The following is a 22,816-nucleotide window of genomic DNA, read 5'->3' as shown; positions in this document are numbered from 1 at the left end:
CCACCCTCAGACTGGCATCATGCTAGTTATTGAACTTTGTAGCCAGTGATAATTATTTCAAAACAATTACGTAATCTTCCTCATTTTTTTCTTTAAAAATATTTGTCTTCCTCTACCTCCCTGAATATGTATGTAGTTTACTATGGTACACATATGCTAATTGCAGTTCTTTCGTCCCAAGTAAACATTATTTTCTTTTAGAGAGTCTGTCTCTGTTGGCTATTTAGGTTGGCACATATGTCACAGTGACCTTCCTAACAGTTTGTTGGAATCTCTTAGTAGATTTTGTGAGGTCTTTGAGCACAGAAAATGGGTCTTGTTCATTTTTCTATCTCCACCACTGAATACTTAGTAGGTGCTCACAATATGTACATTGAATAAAAAAGTAAATTAATAAATAATGAACCAATAAAGGAAACAAATAAATGCCAGCTTACAAAAATAAAAGTAAAATGGTTAAAAAATAAAATTATTTAAATCTTTGACTAGTAAAAGGTAGATTAAATCTACTTCTTTTCTAGAAATAGAAAGATGAGCAATTTTTTACTTCTTCCTTTAAAAACTTATACACTTGGGGGTCAGTAGACTCAAACAATTAATTCATCTTGTAAGGGTGCCTGCAAAGTAATTTTGGTTAAATATAAAAGTAAAGATATATTGTGTTCGTTTTTTTTTGACGGACTCTCGCTCTGTCACCAAACTGAGTGCAGTGGCTCTATCTCAACTCACTGCAACCTCCGCCTTCCAGGTTCAAGTGATTGATCTCCTGCCTCAGCCTCCCAAGCAACTGGGACTACAGGCACACACCACCACACCCAGCTAATTTTTTTGTGTTTTTAGTAGAGACGAGGTTTCACCGTCTTGGCCAGGATGGTCTCAATTTGACCTCCTGATCTGCCTGCCTTAGCCTCCCAAAGTGCTGTGATTACAGATGTGAGCCACCACGCCCGGCCATCGTTTGTTATTCTAAACAACCAGGCAGAATGAACAGAGGCTTGGGGAAAGTGAATAAATGAGGGATGAGGATATCTGAGCAAATACTGTTCCAGGCAGATGAATTGCCAGTTTGCAGACCCTGAAGTCTTTTAAGAAACCATGGCTGGCACAGAGTGAGTTGGGGAGAATAAAAGGAGAGGCTCTCAGAAACCAAACTCAGTAACAACTTCGTATTTTACCCTGAGTGAGATAGGAAGACTTTGAGGAGGCTGAGTAGAGGAACATGATAATATGGCTACTGTGAGTGACATCAGGGTATAGGCACAAGAATGGAAGTCAGAAATCTTCCCTTTAGGGTATATAGAGAATTTTCAGCAGGAGGAGATACATAGCAGGTGAAAAAAAGACCATCTCAGGAAATGACAAACATGGGGAACTACAACACTAATGTGACAGAGGCTGGGGACTGAATGGCCCCTTTTTTTCACTCTAGATTAGGCCATTAGAGGCCATCTCTTTTAGGAGATGACATTTTAGCTTAGATCTGAAGATGAAAAAAATTCAGTTATATAAATATGTAGGGTCAGAGAATCTTGGCCAAAGGAATAACAAGGGTGAGATTGCCCAAACAGCTCCTCCCACAGTGTTTAATGAATTTCCATTTAACACTAAACTATCAAGGGCCTTTTAATGTGGTTCAAATTTGGGAAGTGTGGGGCATAGTTGAAATGCACACTCTTTAGAGATATGCTAATTTTACTTTAATTCTCAATTTTTCCCTGATCAGGGGTATCACTTATGATCAATTGCCAAATCTCTCTGAGTTTCACTTTCTTTACTTGAAAATGGGGATATTAAAACCTACCAGACAGTGCCGTTGTGAGGATTAAGTGAGATAATGTACATAAAGCACCTAGCACATTTTCTGATGTATGAGTTGTATTCAATAAATATGATTCCCTTCTTAAAATGAAGAAAAGAGAAAATATCATCATAGTTGAATTTTTAAAAAGATTTTTTTCTTTGTATTAGGCAATGCTAATATGGGAAATTCCTTTTCCCCACTTCTCAGTGTCTTGTTTCGCACACAGATGGGATTCTGTCCACTCTCTGTCAGAGGATGTGAGTTTGCAGTTGAGGGTCTTAATTAGAAAGCTTGAGTTGGCCATCTTCATTTAGCCCAACCCTCCTTGCATTTTTTTTTTTTTTTTTTGAGATGGAGTCTTGCTCTGTTGCCCAGGCTGGAGTGCAGTGGTGCAATCTCGGCTCACTGCAAGCTCCGCCTCCTGAGTTCACACCATTCTCCTGACTCAGCCTCCCAAGTAGCTGGAACTACAGGAGCCCGCCACCACACCTGGCTAATTTTTTTGCCTGGCTAATTTTTTGTATTTTTTAGTAGAGACAGGGTTTCACCACATTAGCCAGGATGGTCTTGATCTCCTGACCTCGTGATCTGCCCACCTTGTCCTCCCAAAGTGCTGGGATTACAGGCATGAGCCACCACGCCCAGCCCCTCCTTGTAATTAACAGTTCACTTTTATATAATGCCTGGCCTATGGTAGATGAGTATTTGTTAAGGTGAAGAGGAAATATCCCTAGGCACAAGCTGATGAAATGCAGGGTGTGTGGAGGCCACAGCACATGTGGAATAAGTGCTGACTGCCTGCAACGAACTTCATTAACACAAAATGTTAAGCTTAGTGATTCATAAATTTAAATGCAAATATTGAATAAAAGGTTTTGAAAGATTTTTTTGGTTATTTTACCCTAAAACTTTTTTTAGATATTTTGATAGTATGACTCTTTGTCTACCCAGTCACACTAGTGCTGAAGAAATGTAACTTTTGCTTTCTATAATTCAATATAATTTTATTTCAAGGCCTCGTTCTTAAGAAAGTGTCAAAAAAAAAGCCAAAATACAACAAATTTAGTTTAAAGATCTCATTTGGCTTTATTCGCAATTGTAGAATTGGGCAACACTTCATTCTATAAAATAGAATGAGTGTTCAGAGAAGTTGAGTAGAAGGGTGGCTTTGTAGACAGAGAAGGGCTAAAGAAGGCAGAAGCAGAGAATGAAAAGCTCATTAGTCATTTCAAAGCTATTTTTCTTTAAAATCTGATCTGTTGGGGCTTAGTGCAGGAGTTTAGTCCAAAACAATAGTTTCCTATAATTTTTACCTAACAACAGGAACAAAAATGTCAACCTATTTAAGGTTCTGCCACTTTTCCCCAGGATGGTGGCTAAATTCCTTAGCCCATGTTGCAGGGCACAGTGATGTCTGGTTCCTGACTGTCACCTGACTATGCAGGCATCTTCTGTGACATCAGTTATCTGTGCCAGTCCTGGGTCATCAATCCCTACAGATTGCTGCTGTGCTATCATTTGCTCCAGGTCTGGCTTTCTCCACTGCCTCAAAACTTCTGCCGCGAGTGTGTAAAACCATTGGCTGCACTCCCTGCCTACTCTAAGGCTATGAACAACTAGGGGCTGGATGGATCAAGGAGCTTTATCAAGCATGTATCACATAGTCACTTCTACTCTGTTTCTGAGGGCCTCTTCTCAGGAATCTCACCCACTTCCCAGCTCTCTTCAGTTCTCTCTGAGTTATTCTACCTAGTCATTTACATTTCAGAAGCTACAAACTGAATTAGGCATTCTACTGGGTCGTCTCATCCCTGCAGTAGTAAAGACAAGACGCCCAGTTGCTCTGATTAGGAGAAGTGGTTAGGTGAGGGGAAACATCTTGAAAAAACTTTGGTTAACAATTCAAAATATTACTCTGCCTCACTTGTACATCAAAGCAATTTTTCATGGCCATCACTTACATAAAATATGCAATTAATGAAATAGCCTTTTATGAAATTTAATCAAAACTGCTCATAGGTGTTGAAACAGAAATATAATCACTCCTTAAGGAATGAGAGGGTCAGTACTTCATCCTGTGTCTCTGGTGTGTCTCCTGAGAGTTTGTCCTCAATGTTCTTTTAAAGGCAATTAAACTTTTGTGAGTGACTCAGACACAATTTAAATATGGCCGATGTCTCATATTCTCAGACAGTTTTGTTTAAATAATATTCTCTATTTAAAAGAAGCACCAAAAGCAAATTGGTTTGTATTTGTTTTGCACTGGTACAATATGGTCCTAGAGATTATGATCATGAAATATTTTACTATATATGATCATGAAATATTTTACTATATATTGTAGTAGGCACTGTTTTAACCCAAAACCACAGAAGTCAAATTTAAACTCCTGAAACTAAAAGGAGAAAATATTGGCTTATGTATCTGGAAGTTTAGGTTCAGCTTGATTCTACATAGCAAGATTCAGTGACACAAATTATAATATTGGAGTTTTATTTGTTGTCTGTTTCTTTTGTCTTCATCTTTTAGCATTTCTACCTTCTGCATGTGGGTCCCATTCTCAGTAAGACTTTCTATGATAGGAAAAAATGCCCAAGCTTATATCCTTGTAGCTTGTGATTCAGAAAACGGACTCTTTTTTTGTTGTTGTTGTTTTTCACTCTCCAAATGTCAAATATCAGGAAAGGCCTGGACTTCTGTGAGCCATGTGTACACTCTTTGCTCAATCACTGCAACAAGGGAAATGGAATACACTGATTGGCTGTCCTGAATCACATGATCACAAGCTATGATGAAAAGAAGGGTCACTATAATTGACAGCTCCACCAGGACAACATGAACACAGTCATGATTCCTAATAGGAAAAGTAGTGTGCTGCTGTCAGAAGAATGAAGAAAGGCTATAAAAATAAAACAAATCTGCAGTATAAATGGGGGAGGGGTGGGTAGACTGAAGCACTCTGTGTGTTTCTTTCCAAATCTGGATTTGGGGCTATACGCACATTTATGATACTAAGACTGGGGTCCTATAATGCCCAAAGCATCTTGTGAGAAAAGACAATGGCTGCTTCTATATATTCTAAGTAGATTTTCAACTACTAATAACTACTAATTTTTAACTACTAAATATATTTTTAACTACTAATAAAATTCACCTTATTTTTAAAGAAATTGTGCATTTTCTCATTAAGATATATTTTGTTATTTTTTCCCTCCCATTTCTTCCACCTTCCTATGTTACCATAAACAAGGGAGCTTTTGTGACTGTTTGCACAGTTGTTTCAACAGCCTACTTAGTAAGCCAGATAAAGTGGTGACAAATACCAGTTTGAGTGGGATTTGATACTCTGTGTAAAATTTATTTCTAAGTTTCTTTAGAAGTAATGCCATTCTAGGTAAAAAACAAACAAACAACAATCCCCCCCAAACAAACAAACAAACAAAACCTGGAGCTGAACTGCAGAACCCTTCATAATACATCATATTTGGGTCTCAGAATCAGGTTCTCTTCCTCACTTTGTTTCTCTGTCAGGACAGATGCTTCTGCCAAAGTCAGAATTATCAGTGAGATGGAGAATGAGACTAAATCACATTTACTGTAGCTGTGGATAAAACATCTCCAAATCAGGCAGAAAATGTCAATATCATTGACCTCAAGGGAGATATGTGGTTTTTGCACAGTGTAGAGTTTGGGGGCTCTCCAGCAAAACAACATAACAGCAACAGAGAAGGTTTTTCCTGTGACCAGAATGTAAAGTGCTGTCACCGATCCAGATTTAGAAAGGAATGTAACAGTTCTGAGCCTGTGCAGGAAAAGAGAACTAGACATGAGGCCAAAAATCTGAAATTGTAGCCCTTGTTCTTTCACTGCATCCCTGAGGGTTCTTGTCTACCCACTGGACTTCCTTCTGCATCACTTTCTATTTATTTGATATAAAACTGATGATAGTAGTTCTCATAGAGTCTGGGATACACTTTGTTGCTCATTTTATTTATGGCTATAAGGTGCCCATTAATACTATCATCATCTAACATTTCTTACATGATATGTGTACCTTTCCAAAGACTTTCACTTCAGTTATGTCACTTGATCTTTACAACATCCTAGCCAGGAAACACGAGAGTATTTGTATTCCAACTTTTAGAAGAAACTGAGATCTACAGAAGTGAGGTGACTTCTTTACAAGCCCTAGAGTAACATGAAACAATCCAGGACTTAAAACTTCTGCCTCTGTACTCTTGACACAGCTTGTTCCTTTCCTTCCCTAAAGTTCATAGTTACTCTCTTTATATATTTCTTTGCTAGTAAATCCTTTCTTAAAAACCTTTAAAGTACAGATTTCCCTTTCTTCCATGGCTTTTGTTTTTCTTTGTAAACAAAACAGTGATCTAATATTTAATGAACACTTAATATATGATGAAATTGGTGCAAAGTACATTATTCCTATTATCTCATTTAATCTGGCTGCAACCTTATATTTCAGGAACTATTCTTATTCCCATTTTACAGATGAGGTAATTGAACCCTGAAGAGTTTAAGAGGCTTGCTTAAAGGCATACACTGAGAGTGTGAGCTTTTTAAACACTTTGAGATACAGCCTCCATGATCGATAATGGCTTAAAAAAAATGGATGTGGCAGAAATGCCCCAGGAGAGAGTTTCTTGCCTATGCCAGTTTTTTTCTGTATTTTCAAATTGAACAGGAACTAGATATATATATATATAGATATATATATCTATATATATCTATATATAGATATATATATCTATATATATCTATATATAGATATATATCTCTATATATAGATATATATACATATACATATATGTATAGATATATATATACATATATACACATATATATGTAGATATATATATATATACATATATACACATATATATGTAGATATATATATATATACATATATACACATATATATGTAGATATATACCTGCTCTAAAAAACTAGATAACTGAGCCAAATTTATCAAGAAACAATTTTCAAACTTTGGACAATAAGTTGCACAGGACTTTGGCCTCTGATAGAAGAAAAGCAAACAAGATTAGGTTTAAAGTTTCACCCTTATTCTGCCTGGAGGCAGTTTTCAAGCCATAGATACAGAAACAAGAGAACCCAAAGAGCACCTAGTAGTCTTAATAAATTGAGAAGATTGAGATAATGTTTGGGGAAACCAAGTTGGTCAGTATTTATTTGCAAGTTTTAAGACAAGAGAAGAGACAACTGCCTATAAAGATAAGGAACTCCAAAGATCTATAGAGAGTTTATCTTGTGTATTTGGTAGTAATTTTCATCTGCACGTGTAACACCATGCAAGGCTGGAGAAGGATCCCCTGGGAATAAGTAAGCTGAGTAATTTCAAGAAGTCAAACAGAGCTAGGAATATTTTGTATAGCCACCAATCAGAGTAGGAAGATCCCATGAATAAGGGCATCAATTAGAGTACTCAGAAGTATATTGCCTTTATAGCAGGAATAAATAAATTTCATATACTACTCTGGATCTGCCCCAATGAAACTTAAAAACAAACCTAAAAAAAAAAATCAAACTAATTCCAAACAACTTAACAATGTGCCAGAACAAACTTCAACACTATTCAAAAGCATACAAGAAAATCCAGCATATGTAACATTCACAAGGTCTGGCATCCAATCAAAATAACTAGGCATTGGCTGGGTACAGTGGCTCATGCCTGTAATCCCAGCACTTTGGGGAGGCTGAAGTAGGAAGATTACTTGAGACTAAGAGTTCAAGGCCAGCCTAGGCAACAAAGCAAAACTGTGTCTCTACAGAAAATTTAAAATTTGGCCAGATATGGTATTGTGTGCCCATAATCCTAGTTACTCAGGAGCCTAAGGTGGAAGGATCATTTGAGCCCAGCAGTTTGAGGCTGCAGTGAGCTATGATTGCACTCCAGCCTGGGTGACAGAGTAAGACCCTGTCTCAAAAAATAAAAAATAAATTATCAGGCCTACAAAAAAGTATGCAATAGAACCCACAACTGGGAGAAAAACTAATCAATAGAAATAGACCCAGAAATGACAGGGAGAATGAAATTAGCAAGCCAGGACATTAAAACAGCTATGACAAACATGTTTCCAATGTTTAAGAAGATAGAAGAAAATATAACCATAATGACATAAATGAAAATTACAAAAAAGACTTAAATTGAACTTCTAGAGATTAAAAATATATCTGAAATAATACATTGGCTGGAAGGGACTGCAAGTTATACACTGTGAAGAAAAGATCAGAGAATCTGGAGATACAGCAGTAGAAACACAGAAAGAAAAAAAGCCTGAAAAATAAATATCACTGACTTGTGAGATAGTATCAAATTATTTAACATGCATATAATTGCAATATATTTAAAAAGATATGAGGAGAGAAAAAAATTGAATATTTTAGCTTGGAAATTTCCAAGTATGATGATGAAAAATATGAACCCACATATTGATAAGGCCCAGTGATTCCTAAGTTGATTATAAAAATAAAACTACACCAAGGCACCCATAATCAACTTCGTAAAAACCAATTATAGTAAGACAATCTTAACAGCAGGTAGAGAAAAATAACACATTATATACAAAGGAACAAAGATAGGAGTCAAAAGCAGAAGACATTGTAGGGCAACATTTTTATTGTGCTGAAAGAAAAGAACTGTCAACTTAGAATTCTGTACCGTGTAAAATAATCATTTAAGAAAAACCAGTGAAATAAAGCCTTTTTCAGGCAAACAGAAGCCTGAAATTTGAAAATTTTAGCTTGAGATGTCTATTAGAGTAGAAATGTAGAATAGGTCATTGGACACTCAAATTTGTCTTTTAGGGGAGAGGATGGTGCTGGGGATGTACATTTGGAAGTCATTCATTTACAGATATTAGGCTGAAATATTTTGTTTGGCAGAAGCTTGTATTTTCCCTTTATATACTAAAGCCACTGAACGGAGTTTTAAGCTGGGAAATAATATAGTCGTATTTGGTTTTTGAACAAAACTGCTATGGTGGTATTCAGAATGATATTTTGGGACAGAAAATGTAGAAATACCATTCAGGAAACCTATGCCAGTAGAAAAATGGGGTGAGGAATTACATAAAGGCAGTGGCAATGTAGTTAAAGAGGATGGGGTAAATTTGAGACATAATTAGAATGTATAATTGGCCAGGTTTGGTGATATATTAGATTTGCGTTATGTTGGGTGGAGGAAAAGCTAGGATTTCTGCCTTAAGCAACTGAGTGGCTGGTTCACTGAGATGGGAGATACACAAGGCAATTATATATTTATATCCAAGTTGAGACACTTTTAAGACTAAAAGAGCAACCTAGGACATATGAATGGTTTAGGGATATTGAAGAAGAAACAGCATCAATTTTGCGGGGGGTTGGCAGTGAACATAATATCTTCAGTGATCAATACACAAAGTTTGAAGGACTTGTGGGACATCCAAGTATATATGGCTAATATACCATGGGATAAACAGGTCTGGACTCTGAAGAGTGATTTTGACTTCAGGTTATTGGAGAGGAGGTAGCTGCAGCCATAGAGGTAGATGTATTAGACACCAAAACATTTATGTAAGGAGTCAAGCAATGGGGTGAGGATTACTTCTTAAATGATCTTGTTGTTTTTTATTTGTTTTGGTTTCCTGGGGCTAGGAATAGTGGTGGATGGTTTGTACATACAATGACAGTTACTACGAGATAATAGGAAGCCAAATGAGGAAAATTTAATACAATATCTTACAAGAGGCTGGGGGCAATATAACTGAGGCAGGTTGGTACAAAGTACATTTTTTAATGGAGTTTGAACATAATTAACTGAAGCTTGCCTGAGAGAGACTAACCTTTAAATGTGATAATGAGAGTTAATACTTATGTGATGCTTACGATGTAATGGGCACTGTTCTAGGTGCTTTATGTACATTAACTCATTTAATTACTACAACTGCCTTATAGTTACTGTGTTTTTATCCTTATCTTCTAGATGAGACAAATGAGAGTCAGACAGTTTATTAGCTTGACTATAGTTACAAAGCTAGTAAGAGAGGTGCTGAAATTGAAATTAGATGATCTGACTTCTGAGTTCAAGCCCTTAACATGACCCTCTACTCTAATCCTGCAGGTTCTTTAATGTATTGATCCAGAGTCCAGTTTTCTCTCATTTGTTTTCCTTTTCTTCCTAACTCTGGTTTAGTACAGCCCAGTCTGTCTTGCCAGTAGAGGAATGATTTATTTCCTGGCTATTTTGTGTCTCACCTGATTTTCCTCTTCATTCAGAGTGAAAGCAGGGGAAAGGAACACAAGTATGCAATGATTCATCTTTATTCCTTACCTCTCAGCTCTGACAACCAGACTGCATTTGCTGACTTGGCTCCAGGGAAAGCAATTCTCATCCTAAGTGCAGCTTTCATTCCTGGCTCCATTGTCAACTTCAAAGACCCAGCTGGCCTCCTCCTGCCCAACACTTTTCCATGGCAGTCACAGATCATGGTTCCTGTGAAGAGAATGTCCAAGGCTCAAGTTGTAATTAGGAAGGACATTGTTCCTGAACCCAAGGTTTCTAAGCAACAGATAAAAAGCCAATTAAATGTTATTGGCTGCACGTCCTGTCCTCCAGCCACATGCATGATGCTTGTTACAGAGGCTCTTGGCTATTTCTCTGCATGTCCATCTGCTAAAATGGCAAAATGCCCTCTTGGTCTATATTTGAATTCTTGCCCATAGCCATGGTTGCCAGGCCACAACAGATGCTTGCAGATCAACAACAGTGTTAGATCTTTTCCAGCTATGCCTCTTGTGGCAGCCACAGACCTTGTAAGACATGGTGTGCACCTGTTGAATGTCATCTGCCAAACAACATGACTGCTTGGGAATGGGATTAGTGGAAAGCAGCTGCCATGAAGACAGGCTGCACCACATGTTAAACTTGGTGTCAAAATCCCCAATACATTTTATAAAATAACAGGTCTGTGCTAGAAGACATGAGGAAAGTTTAGGATGCAAAGGGTGCCAAGAGATTTTGAAACCTCAGACAAACAAGATCATGGAATAGTGGGTATCTCTGTGAAGTGTTCCCAACATGAGCAACTTGCTGGAAGCAAAATCTAATAAGGTTGAGAGAAGTCTGTGTAATGAACTCACTGGCTTTCATAATAGAAAAGAAAAGTAGAGGATCCAAAATTTCAGCTTTATGTCTCAAAACTATGAGAAATGTTTTCTCACAGGCTTAGATCTGGGCATTTGAAGCTCAGACAAGTGTACTTACGTACATTTCTTGTAAGTTTCCTTTTTATATGATAAGCTATAGAGGGGATTTAAATGGGGTGCAGAGAATATAGCATCCTGGGATACTTTCATTCTCATAGACCAAGGATAAGATAAGGAAAAAAAAGGATGAGAGTTTACAATAAAAATTTGATAATTCAGTAATAATTTTGATAACAGCAAGACAAATATTTATTAAGAACACTATAGGTAGACATATTTAAAGGGTGTAATTTGGGGAGATATTGTAGCATTATATTGATTTGGGACATTTCATATTTTTTATTCATCTTTCCTAGCAAGAAGAGAAAATGTATCAACAGTTTTTTGTATCAACATTTTTGAGCATCAGCCACATGCTGGATATTACATACGCACATCCACATTTACCCCTCACACCAACTCTATGAGATATCATTACTTCCATTAATAATATATTATTATTAATTAATATATGATGGCCGTTACTAATTCCAATAACCTAAAGCCATTTTGTGACGTCATTTAACATTTTTGACCCCTAGGTACTTAAACTGTAAACCTGGAAATCAAGAGACTTACTTGGTATATGTGGAGTGTCAGGCAGATTTACAGCATATTTATTTTACAATTCTGTTCTAGTAAAGATAAACATTGTGCAGGCTTCTGAGTAAAAGAGTTTTAGATTTTATATATTTAAATGCAGGTTAAACTGTAGGCTTAATATTTACAGGTATTGCTTCTACCTTGCTTTGTGCTATAGCCCTAATGCCTGGCACAGGAACCAGACATGATTTGCTAAATGAATAAAGAAGAAATGGTGGTGATCAGAGCAATATTGGCAATCCCTCTACACACCAATTTATTTGTTGTAAAATTAATATTCTACACACACACACACACACACACACACACACACATTTTGCCCCTGGAAAAGGTGCCAAAGATAAAGAGATTCATTAGAAAGCTGAGATGAAAACAGTCCAGATCTCAGAAAATAAATATGATCTGTGGCAGTAGGGATGGAGAACAAAAACTTATGGCATAGCATCTTCTGAAGACTTGAAAATACTTGTTTGCCCCGGAAGTGTGTGCTGTAAGGGCAGATGTGAGAGAGGAGGGGCAGTATAGGGTGATTCTAAGGTATTCAGTAGATTTCTGGGGAGAGAGGATAATGCCTTGAGAATATCATGAAATATCTTGAAATTTTTTGAAAAAGTAATACTAAGCTCATAACTCAGTCTCAGGTCTGGAAGGCTCAGACAACCATCAAGGGTGTAGATGACTGCTAGAACCACTTGGCCTTCTTATTGTCTCTGTTATTAAAGACAGTGGCTTCCTAAATAGGCTAACAAATTGTGACTAGGGGCTTTTCAGTTTTTTTTAAAGCTAAGATTGATGGAAAACCAAATTAAATGATAAATGCCAGAAGAGATCTTGTTTCTGCAGACTGGTGACATTTATTTCCTGCACACTTTGGTATTGCATTAAAGTTCTTATTAATTTTTGTTTTCATTACTGACTTTTAAATGATAACATTCCAGATGACATTTTACAATAAGAAAGTTTTTTGCCATCTGAAAGTATAACTAATTAACCAGCATATTTCATGTTATCTACATAGTGCCTTCCTAGTTATATACATTTTCTCAATATTTAATAAAGCTGTTTGAATAAAAGAGCTTTATTTCTAATAAGACTTTTAATTGAGCTGTGATAGATGTGTCCTTTCAGGTTTTTCTTTTATTTACACACATTGCTTTGCAACCTCCACCTTAATAGTCACCAGGAGCCCAAAAGACTTGACTCCTTCACTACAAGTATTAGGTTGTAAAAATAGAAAAAAAAGTGGTTGCAAATTACTCTTTCTCATTAGAAAGAAAAATGTACCCCTGTGATTAAATTGGCTAGAGATGACAGATTCTAAGGTCATGCCTATCTCTGTACCTGCACTAAACTAAGTGTCCCACTACTATGCTGAGTTCATTCTGTCTTCTGTGTCTTTTTCATGGCACTCTCTATATCTGGATTCCTAGTAGTTCATGAGCACTGAGTTCAGTTCCTAGAACCATTACGAAACTTTCCATGCTCATTACAAACCAGGAGATATTATTTGTTCATTCATCATTTATCAAGCCAGTGAACAATATTTACAATTCAATATACTAAGGATAGGAATAGAGGTTTGGAAACGTGCTATGAAAATACAGCAGAGGTTCATCTTCTTCCTCCTGGTTACCATTTTTACCATTTTTGTTATATCTTTCTTGTCACATCTCTTCAGTTGAATTTAACTTTTGTAAAACCGACTCTGTTTTCATGAAAGAAAACGTGTACTACTCTCCACCCCCTCACTCTAACTATTCCTGCTACGCTTTTTCTGTCATGGTTAATTATTGTTGAAGTAAGGTTAATTATTGGTTAAGAATTGCAGTGACTGAAGGCTAGTTAGTAAAGTTAGAATGAAAAAAAAAAAAAAAAGAAAAGAAATGAATCTGTTACTCTGGCTAGGATTTAGGGCCTAAGGCACTAGATGACTTTGGTCACTTATTTTCTTAAGAAAAAAGATGGAATTTAATTCTTATTAAGGACAACAGAAAGCACCCACTAAGCACCCACCTACATGCACACACGCACGCGCACGCGCGCGCGCACACACACACACACACACACACACACACACATTGAGTAACAAAGATGGTTTGGGCCTTATAAAATGAAGGGACATAAATTCCATATGGATTTCCAGACATCTCTTCCTAGTGTATTATATTAGCTAAATCTTGATGCTTCACTTCTCAATTTTCCTTAAGAAAAAGGGGATCGATGTAGCCCATCTTAACATAAAATAAGGACATAAGAGACACGATCAGAATGACCATGCTAGAAACTTTTTGACAACGTTTGTTTTGCATGCTCACTTTCTTCAATAAGATCACCTTCTTTCCAAAAACAAATTTAGCCCCTGATAAAATAATGCTAGAATAAATGAGAACATTTGTAGTGATGGTGCTGCTATGGAACAATTTTTTTTGAGGTGCAGAATCAAGAACTCCTTATTCTGAGGCCACATGTGGTTATTTTGCCAAAAGTTTTGTTTAAGGAAGGTGTGAAGACCTGGGTTGCAAAGGGCCATAATAAAATCATTTTCACTGATGGTCAGAGGTATATAGATGTGAAAAGTCCTTTTAGGAAGGTCGTTTGTAACAAGTCAGCCGTAGTGCACTGATGTCAGTCAAACCCTTCAGTATTGGGCCAGCCATGAAATTTAAATGATGCATAAAATTTGCTTTAGAAGCAACAGAGAATACATATTATTACTTTGACATATAGCAGATGGAATGTTAAGTAGAGGGCTTTGCAAGATTTTATATAAGTGAGTACCTCTTGCTGTGAATAAAGCAAAAAGGGTAGCATAAGATGGAAATGGCTCATTTACAGAAACATGAAAGATCTCTGTTAAGCGAAGGGAGTAATATCATGAAATGTTCTACCCAATAATGACGGACTACTGAAAGGAGACTAAGAAAATAGTGGAATATCATAAATAAATGTAATCTGCAAGTTTGGGATGAAAATTCTAGAATTTAAAGTGTGCCCAAGAATAGGAAAGATTGAAAATCACTATATTAATATTCATGAGGAGATTTTTGGGGTGAAAACATTAACTTGGGGCAGGAAAATATGAACATATAAGACTTAAGGTAATGGGTTATATTTCTTTGAGGCATTTTATTGTTACCACATTCCATGGCTACCGGCACTTTTGCCAATAAGTAATTCTGATCATAAGAAAGCCAGATTAGAAAGGGTATGGCAAGCTCATTAATTTATCAAAGAAAAATCCATTGAGTCCCTAAATATGAGGACATAAGACATGACACAACCTTATATATATTCGTGTTCTGTGGAAAATATAGGCAAAGAAATGCAGAGTGCTCTGTTATAAATAATGTATTAAGGGGTAACTCCAAGACTATGGAATGACACAGGAAGGTGCTTAACAATACTGGTGGCATAGTAGATGTCTTGGAAGGCTCCTAGAGGAGAGAAATTTAAAAGGAAACTAACTATAAGAAATTATAGGAGAACAATTGAAGGTTTGAGTACAGTGCTGAAGTGTCTTGCTGAGGAATAAAATATTTCAGACAGGGGAAGTTGTTTTAGCGTCTTTCCAGATATGTAATCATTAAATATGGTCACCTTGCTGTACAATAGGTATCTTGAACTTATTCCTACTATCTAATTTTGTATCTGTTTACCAACATCTCTTCAATCCCCAGTAATGGAATTGCTAGATCATATGGTAATTCTATTTGTAGTTTTTTCAGGAACCTCCAACTGTCTTCCATAGTGGATGTACTAATGTACATTACCATCAACAGTGTGCAAGGGTTCCTTTTTCTTTTGTCTTTTTGGTGGTAGCTATTCTAACAGGAGTGAGGTGATATCTATTTGTGGTCCTAATTTGCATTTCTCTGATAATTAGTAATGTTAAACATTTTTTCATATACCTGTTAGCCACCTGTATGTCTTCTTTTGAGAAATGTTGATTGAGGTTCTTTGTCCATTTTTAAATTGGATATAAGTTTATTACTATTGAGTTGCTTCAGTTCCTTGTATTTTGTGAATATTAACCGATTATCAGATGTACAGTTTGCAAATATTTTCTCCCATTCTTAAGGTTTTCTCTTTACTCTGCTGATTGTTGCATTTTCTGTGCAGAAGCTTTTAAATTTGATGTGATTACATGTTTCTATTTTTGCCTTTCTTGCCTGTACTTTTGATCTCATATCCAAAAAAATTATTGCCTGACCAGTGTTATAGAGTATTTCCCCCATGTTTTCTCCTAGTTTCATAATATCAGGTTTTATGTTTATGTTTTTAATTCATTTTGAGTTGATTTTTGTATATGGTTTGAAATAAGAATCCAATTTCATTTTTATGGATGTAGATATTTAGTTTTCCCAACACAATTAAAGAGACTATCCTGTCTCCATTGTGTTTTCTTGACAACTTTGTCAAAAACTAGTTGACCATAAAAAGAAATAATCAACAGAGTAAATGCACAACATTTAGAATGGGAGAAAATATTTGCAAGCTATGCATTCAACAAAGGACTAATATTATTTGTTAAATTTACAAGGAACTCAGTAAGATAAAAAACAATAAAAAGTCAAAAAAGGACATGAAGAGATTATTCTCAGAATAAGACATAGAAGTAGTCAGCAAACACATGAGAAAATGTTTATCATCACTAATCATCAGAGAAATCAAATCAAAGCCATAATGAGATAACATGTTACACCAGTCAGAATGGCTGTTATTAAAAAGTCAAAAATAACAAATGTTGATGCGTATGCAGAGAAAAAAGAATGCTTATACACTGTTGGTGGGAATGTTAATTACTACAACCTCTATGGAAAACAGTATGGAAACTTCCTAAAGAACTAAAGATATAGCTACCATTTAACCTAGAAATCTCACTACTGGGCATCTACCCAAAGGAAAGGAATCATTATATAAAAAGACACCAGCCCTCATATGTTTATCACAGCACTAGTCACAGTAGCAAAGCCATGAAATTAACCTAAGTGCCCATCAACACATGACTGATTAAGAAAATGTGGTATATATACATCATGAAATACTACACAGCCATAAAAAGAATGAAATACTGTCTTTTGGAGCAACAAGGATGGAGCTGGAAGTCATTGTCCAAAATAAAATAACTCAGAAATAGAAAATCAAATATTATATACTGTCACTATTAAGTGGGAGTTAAACAATGGGAACACATGGACATAAAGATGGAAATAATAGACACTGGAGAATCCAGTGGGGGAAGTGTATGGAGGGTGAGGGTTGAATAATTACCTATTGGGTACAATGTTCATTATTTGGGTGATAGGTACACTAGAAACCTAAACCTCACTATTATTCAATATATCCATGTAACAAACCTGCACATGTATCTCCTGAATCTATAATAACAATTTAAAAAGAGAATCATTTGGCTGTAAATGTGTGTATTTATTTCTGGACTCTTTATAGTGTCCCATTGTCTTTATGCCAGTACCATATTCTTTGCATTACCATATCTTTCTAATTTATTTTGAAGGCAGGTACTGCTATTCCTCCAGCTTTATTCTTTTTGCTTAATACTGCTTTGGCTATTCTGAGTCTTTTGTGGTTCCATACAAATTTTAAGATTGTTTTTCAATTTCTGTGAAGCATATCTCTTGTATTTTAATAGAAATTACATTAAATCTGTAAATCTCTTTGGCTATTCTTGGCATTTTAACAATATTAATTTTTCCAGTCTGTAAACATAGAATATCTTTCCATTTGCTTGTGACTTCTTTAATTTCTTTTATTAGTATTTTATAGTTTTTAATGTAGAGATCTTTCACTTTCTTGCTTAAATTCATTCCTAAGAATATTATCTTTTAAGAAATCTTTTGCAAATGTTAATGTGTTCTTAATTTCTTTCTCAGATAGTTCACTGTTCATTTATATTAACAACACAATTTTTTTATATTGATATTGTCTCCTGCAGCTTTACTGAAATTGTTTATTAGTTTTAACTGTTTTTTTGGTAGAGTGTTTTTGGAGATCATGTCATCTGCAAACATGGTCAATTTCATGTCTTTCCTTTCCAATGTGAATGCCCCACATTTCTTTCTCTTGCCTAATTACTCTGGCTAGGACTTCCAGTGCTATGTTGAATAGAGGTGGTAGGTGTGGGCATTCTTGTTTTTTTCTGGATATCAGAGGAACACTTTTCAGTTTTCTGCCATTGAGTATGATGGTAGCTATGGGTTTGTCATCTATGGCCTTTATTGTGTTGAGGTACATTCCTTCTATACCTAGTTTGTTGAATCTTTTTATCATGAAATAATTTTGAATTTTGTCAAATGCTTTTCTTGCATCTATTGAAATGATCATATGGTTTGTGTCATTTGTTATGTATTACATTTATTTATTTTTGTATATTGAACTACCTTCATATACTGATACGGTTTGGCTCTGTGTCCCCACCTAAATCTCATGTCAAACTGTAATTCCGAATGTTGGGAGAGGGACCTGTAGGAGGTGACTGGATCATGGAGGCGGATTTCCCCCTTGTTGTTCTCATGATAGTGAGTGAGTTCTCATGAGATCTGGTTGTTTAAAAGTTTGCAGCACTTCCCTCTTCTCTCACTATCTCTCCTGCCACCTTGTGAAGACCAGCTTGCTTCCCTTTTACCTTTCACCATGATTGTAAGTTTCCTGAGGCCCCCCAGCCAGCCATGTCTCCTGTACAACATATAGAATTGTGAGTCAATTAAACCTCTTTTCTTCATAAATTACCCAGTGTCAGGTAGTTCTTTATAGTAATGCGACAATGGACTAAAACATATACCTAGAAAGAATCCCGCTGGATCATGGTGAATGCTCATTTTAATCACTGTTGAATTTATTTTTTAAACAATTTGTTAAGTATTTTTGCATGTACATTCACAAGGGAGGTTGACCAGGATTAGCCTAATCTTAAAACCAGAAAATGACACCAGAAGAAAGGAAAACAGTTCTGGTGTCCTTCTCTGGTTTTAATGAGGGTAATGCTGGTCTCATAAAATTAGTTTGGAAGTATTCTCTTCTTTTCTGTTTTTTGGAAGTGTGTGAGAATTGGTATTTGTTCCTTAAACGTTTGGTAGAATTTAGCCTTGAAGCCATCTGGTCTTGGGCTTTTCTTTGATGAAAGAAATTTATTACTGGTTACTTAGGCATTATGGGTCTGTTCAAATTTTCTGTTTATGATTCAAACTTGGTAGGTTGTATGTGTCCAGGAATACATCTGTATCTTCTAGGTTATCCAATCTGTTGGTGTATGATAATCTCTCATGATCCTTTGTATTTCTGTGATATCAGTTGTAATATCTCCTCCTTTATTTCTGATTTTGTTTATTGTAATCTTCTCAGTTTTTTTATTTAGTTAGTCCAGCTAAAGGTTTGCAAAATTTGTTCGCAAATTCTACAGTTTGTCTGTTCACATTGTTGATAGTTTCTTTTGCTGTGCAGAAGCTCTTTAGTTTAATTAGATCCCATTTGTCATTTTTTGCTTTTGTTGCAATTGCTTTTGGTGTCATTGTCATGAAATTTTTGCATGTTCCTATGTTCAGAATGGCATTACCTAGGTTGCCTTCCAGGATTTTTATGGTTTTGAGTTTTAAATTTAAGTCTTTGATCCATCTTGAGTTGATTTTTATATATGGTGTAAAGAAGGGTTCCAGTTTCAATCATCTCCATATGGCTAGCCAGTTATCCCAGCACTATTTATTGAATAGGAAGTCCTTTCCCCATTCCTTGGTTTTGTGAGCTTTGTCAAAGATCAAATGGTAGTAGGTGTGTGGCCTTATTCCTTTGCTCTTGATTCTGTTCCATTGGTCTATTTTTCTGCTTTTGTACCAGTACTATGATGTTTCAGTTACTATGCCCCTGTAGTATAGTTTGAAGTCAGGTAGGGTGATGCCTACAGCTTTGTTCTTTTTATTTAGCATTACCTTGAATATTTCAGATAATTTTTGTTTCCATGTGAATTTTAAAACAGTTTTTTCTAGTTATGTGAAGAATATTATTGGTGGCTTGATAGGAATAGCATTGAATCTGTAAATTGTTCTGGCCAACATGGCCGTTTTAATGATATTGATTCTTCCTATCTATGAGCATGGAATCTTTTCCAATTTGAATCTTTTCCAATTTGCGTCATCTCTGATTTCCTTGAACAGTGTTTTGCAATTTTCATTGTAGAGATTTTTCACTTCCCTTGTTAGCTGTATTCCTAGGTATTGTATTCTCTTTGTGGCAAATTGTAAATGGGAATGCATTACTGATTTGCCTCTTAGCTAGGCCTTTGTTGGTGTATAGGAATGCTGGTGATTTTAATACAGTAATTTTGTATGCTGAGACTTCACTGAAGTTGTTTATCAGCTTAAGGGGCTCTGGGGCTGAGTCTATGGGGTTTCTATATGTAGAACTATGTCATCTGCAAACAGGGATAGATTGACTTCCTCTATTCCTAATTTGATGCCCTTTATTTCTTTAACTTGCCAGATTGCTAGCCAGGACTTCCAATACTATGTTGAATAGGAGTGGTTAGAGAGGGCATCCTTGTCTTCTGCTAGTTTTCAAGGGGAATGCTCTCAACTTTTGCCCACTGTGTATGATGTTGGCTGTGGGTTTGTCATCGATGGCTTATTATTTTGAGGTATATTCTTTCAATACCTAGATTATTGAGGACATAAAAGTATGTTGATTTAGCAAAAAACTTTTTTGCCTCTATTGAGATAATCATGTGGTTTTTGTCTTTTGCTCTGTTTATTTAATAAATTACATCTATTGATTTGCATATGTTGGATCAACCTTGCATCCTGGGGATAAGCCCTACTTGATCATAGTGGACTAGTTTTTTAATGTGCTGCTGGATTCAGTTTGCAAGTGTTTTACTGAGGATTTTTGTATCTGTTCATCAAGAATAGCAGCCTGAATGTTTTTTGTTGTTGTTGTGTCTCTGCCAAATTTTGGTATCAGGATGATACTGGCTTCATAGAATGAGTTGAGAAGGAATCCTTCCCCCTCAATTTTTTGGAATAGTTTCAGTAGTAATGATTTCACTTTTTCTTTGTACATCTGGTAGAATATGGTTGTGAATCTGTCTGGTTCTGGGTGTTTTTGGTTTGGGCTGTTTATCACTGATTAATTTTGGAGCTCATTATTTGTATTTTCCGGGATTTAATTTCTTCCTGGTTCAGTCTTGTGAGGGTGTATGTGTCCAGGAATTTATCTGTCTCTTCTAGATTTTCAAAGATGTTCATAGTAGTCTCTGATGATTATTAGTATTTCTCTGAGGTCAGTGGTAATATCCCCTTGCCATTACTAATTGTGTTTATTTGAATTTTCTCTCTCTTCTTCTTAGTGTAGCTTGTGGCCTATTTTTTTTCCCCCAAAAATCCATTTCCTGGATTTGTTGATCTTTTGAATGTATCTTTCTGTTAGTATGTTTCAGTCTCTTGCAGTTCAGCTCTGATTTTGGTTACTACTTGTGTTCTGCTAGCTTTGGGGTTGGTTTGCTTTTGCTTCTCTAGTTCTTTTAGTTGTGATATTAGGTTGTTAATTTGAGATCTTTATAACTATTTAGTGCTATAAATTTCCCTCTTAACACCCTTTTAGCTGTGTCCCAGAGACTTGAGTATGCTGTATTTTTATTCTCATTAATTTCAAATAACTTCTTGATTTCTGCCTTAATTTAATTATTTACCCAAAAGTCACTCAGGAGCAGGTTGCTTCATTTGCATGTAATTACATGGTTTTGAGCAATTTTTTTAGTCTTGATCTCTAATTTTATTGTGCTGGTGTCCAAGAGTGTATTTGATATAATTTCATTTCTTTTTACATTTGCTGAGGGTTGTTTTATGTTCGATAGTGTGGTTGATTGTAGAGTATGTGCCAGGTGGCAATGAGAGGAATGTATATTCTGGGTAGAGAGATCTGTTTATGTCTATTAGATCTATGTTGTCCAATGTTGAATTTAGGTCCTGAATATCTTTGTTAATATTTTGCCTCAATGATCTATCTAAAACTGTCAGTGGTGTGTTGAAGTCTCCCACTATTATTGTGTGGGAGTCTAAGTCCCTCTGTAGGTAAATATTAACTTATTTTATGAATCGGAGTGCTCCTGTATCAGGCACATATACATTTAGGACATTTAGTTCTTCTTGTTAAATTGAACCTTTTACCATAATGTAATATTTTTCTGTTTTTTTTTTTCTTTAATCTTTGTTGTTTTAAAGTCTGTTTTGTCAGAAATTAGGATAACAACCTCTGATTTTTTCTGATTTTCATTTGCTTGGTAGATTTTTCTCTATCCCTTTATTTTGAGCCCATGGGTGTCACTGCATGTGAGATGGGTCTCTTGAAGACAGCATGCTATTGGATCTTAGTTCTTTATCCAGCTTGTTACTTCGTGTCTTTTAAACAAGTTACTTCACTCATTTAAATTCAAGGTTAGTATTGATATGTGTGGATTTGATCTTGTAATTGTGTTGTTAGCTGGTTACTATGCTGACTTGTTTGTGTGGTTGCTTTGTAGTGTCACTGGTCTGTGTACCTAGTGTGTATTTTTATTGGCTGGTAACAGCCTTTTCTTTCCATATATAGTACCCCTTTGAGATTTCTTGTAAGACTGCAGCTCTAGGGTGATCTCAGGGAGATTTGAAACTGCTGCCATCCAGAAAACACCAGCAGGGGTAGCTGGAGTCCCTGGTCGGGATGTCCTGCAGTCCTGCTCAGTAAGGAGGAAGATCAGGGACTTGTGTTAAAAAAAAAAAAAAAAAAAAAAAAAAAAAAAAGTAGTCTTGTCACTTTATTGTAGAGCAGCTGTGGTGCACTGGGGGTCCATTCTAGCCCCCAGTTGCCTCTGACTCTCCAAATCCAGAAAGCAACAAAAGTTAAGGTTGTGAAACAGTAAAGATGGCAGCCTACCCCACCCTCTGGGAACTCTGTCCCAGGGAGGTTTGTATCCACTGTTGGCTGGAAAACATTGACAAGGGTGACTGAAGACCCTGCCCTGGTTGGGAGATTCCACTCAATGAAGAGAAATGATGGATGAGCAGTTGGGCCACTTTCCCATAGAGCTGCTGAACTGTGCTGGAGGACCGTTCTAGACTCCAGTTGCCTCAGACTTCCTAGAGCTTAAGAAACAATAATTAAGGC

The 22,816-nt window shown here is 36.1% G+C and overlaps 1 long non-coding RNA gene across 7 annotated transcripts in view; it reads right to left on the bottom strand.

The window, feature by feature from the left end:
* LOC102723370 (uncharacterized) overlaps positions 1-22,816 on the bottom strand; it is a 366,694-nt gene that overhangs the window by 30,046 nt on the left and 313,832 nt on the right. For all 7 annotated transcript variants that reach the window (XR_007062619.1, XR_931110.3, XR_931111.3 and 4 more), the window contains one exon: positions 10,152-10,313. This is a non-coding gene — a long non-coding RNA (uncharacterized LOC102723370). The remainder of the gene's footprint in view (positions 1-10,151; positions 10,314-22,816) is intronic.

The sequence above is a fragment of the Homo sapiens genome, chromosome 11 (genome assembly GCF_000001405.40).
Source record: "Homo sapiens chromosome 11, GRCh38.p14 Primary Assembly".
Classification (NCBI taxonomy): domain Eukaryota; kingdom Metazoa; phylum Chordata; class Mammalia; order Primates; family Hominidae; genus Homo; species Homo sapiens.
The sequence above is the reverse complement of the archived record's forward strand: the minus strand, read 5'-3'. Positions and strand labels throughout refer to the sequence as shown.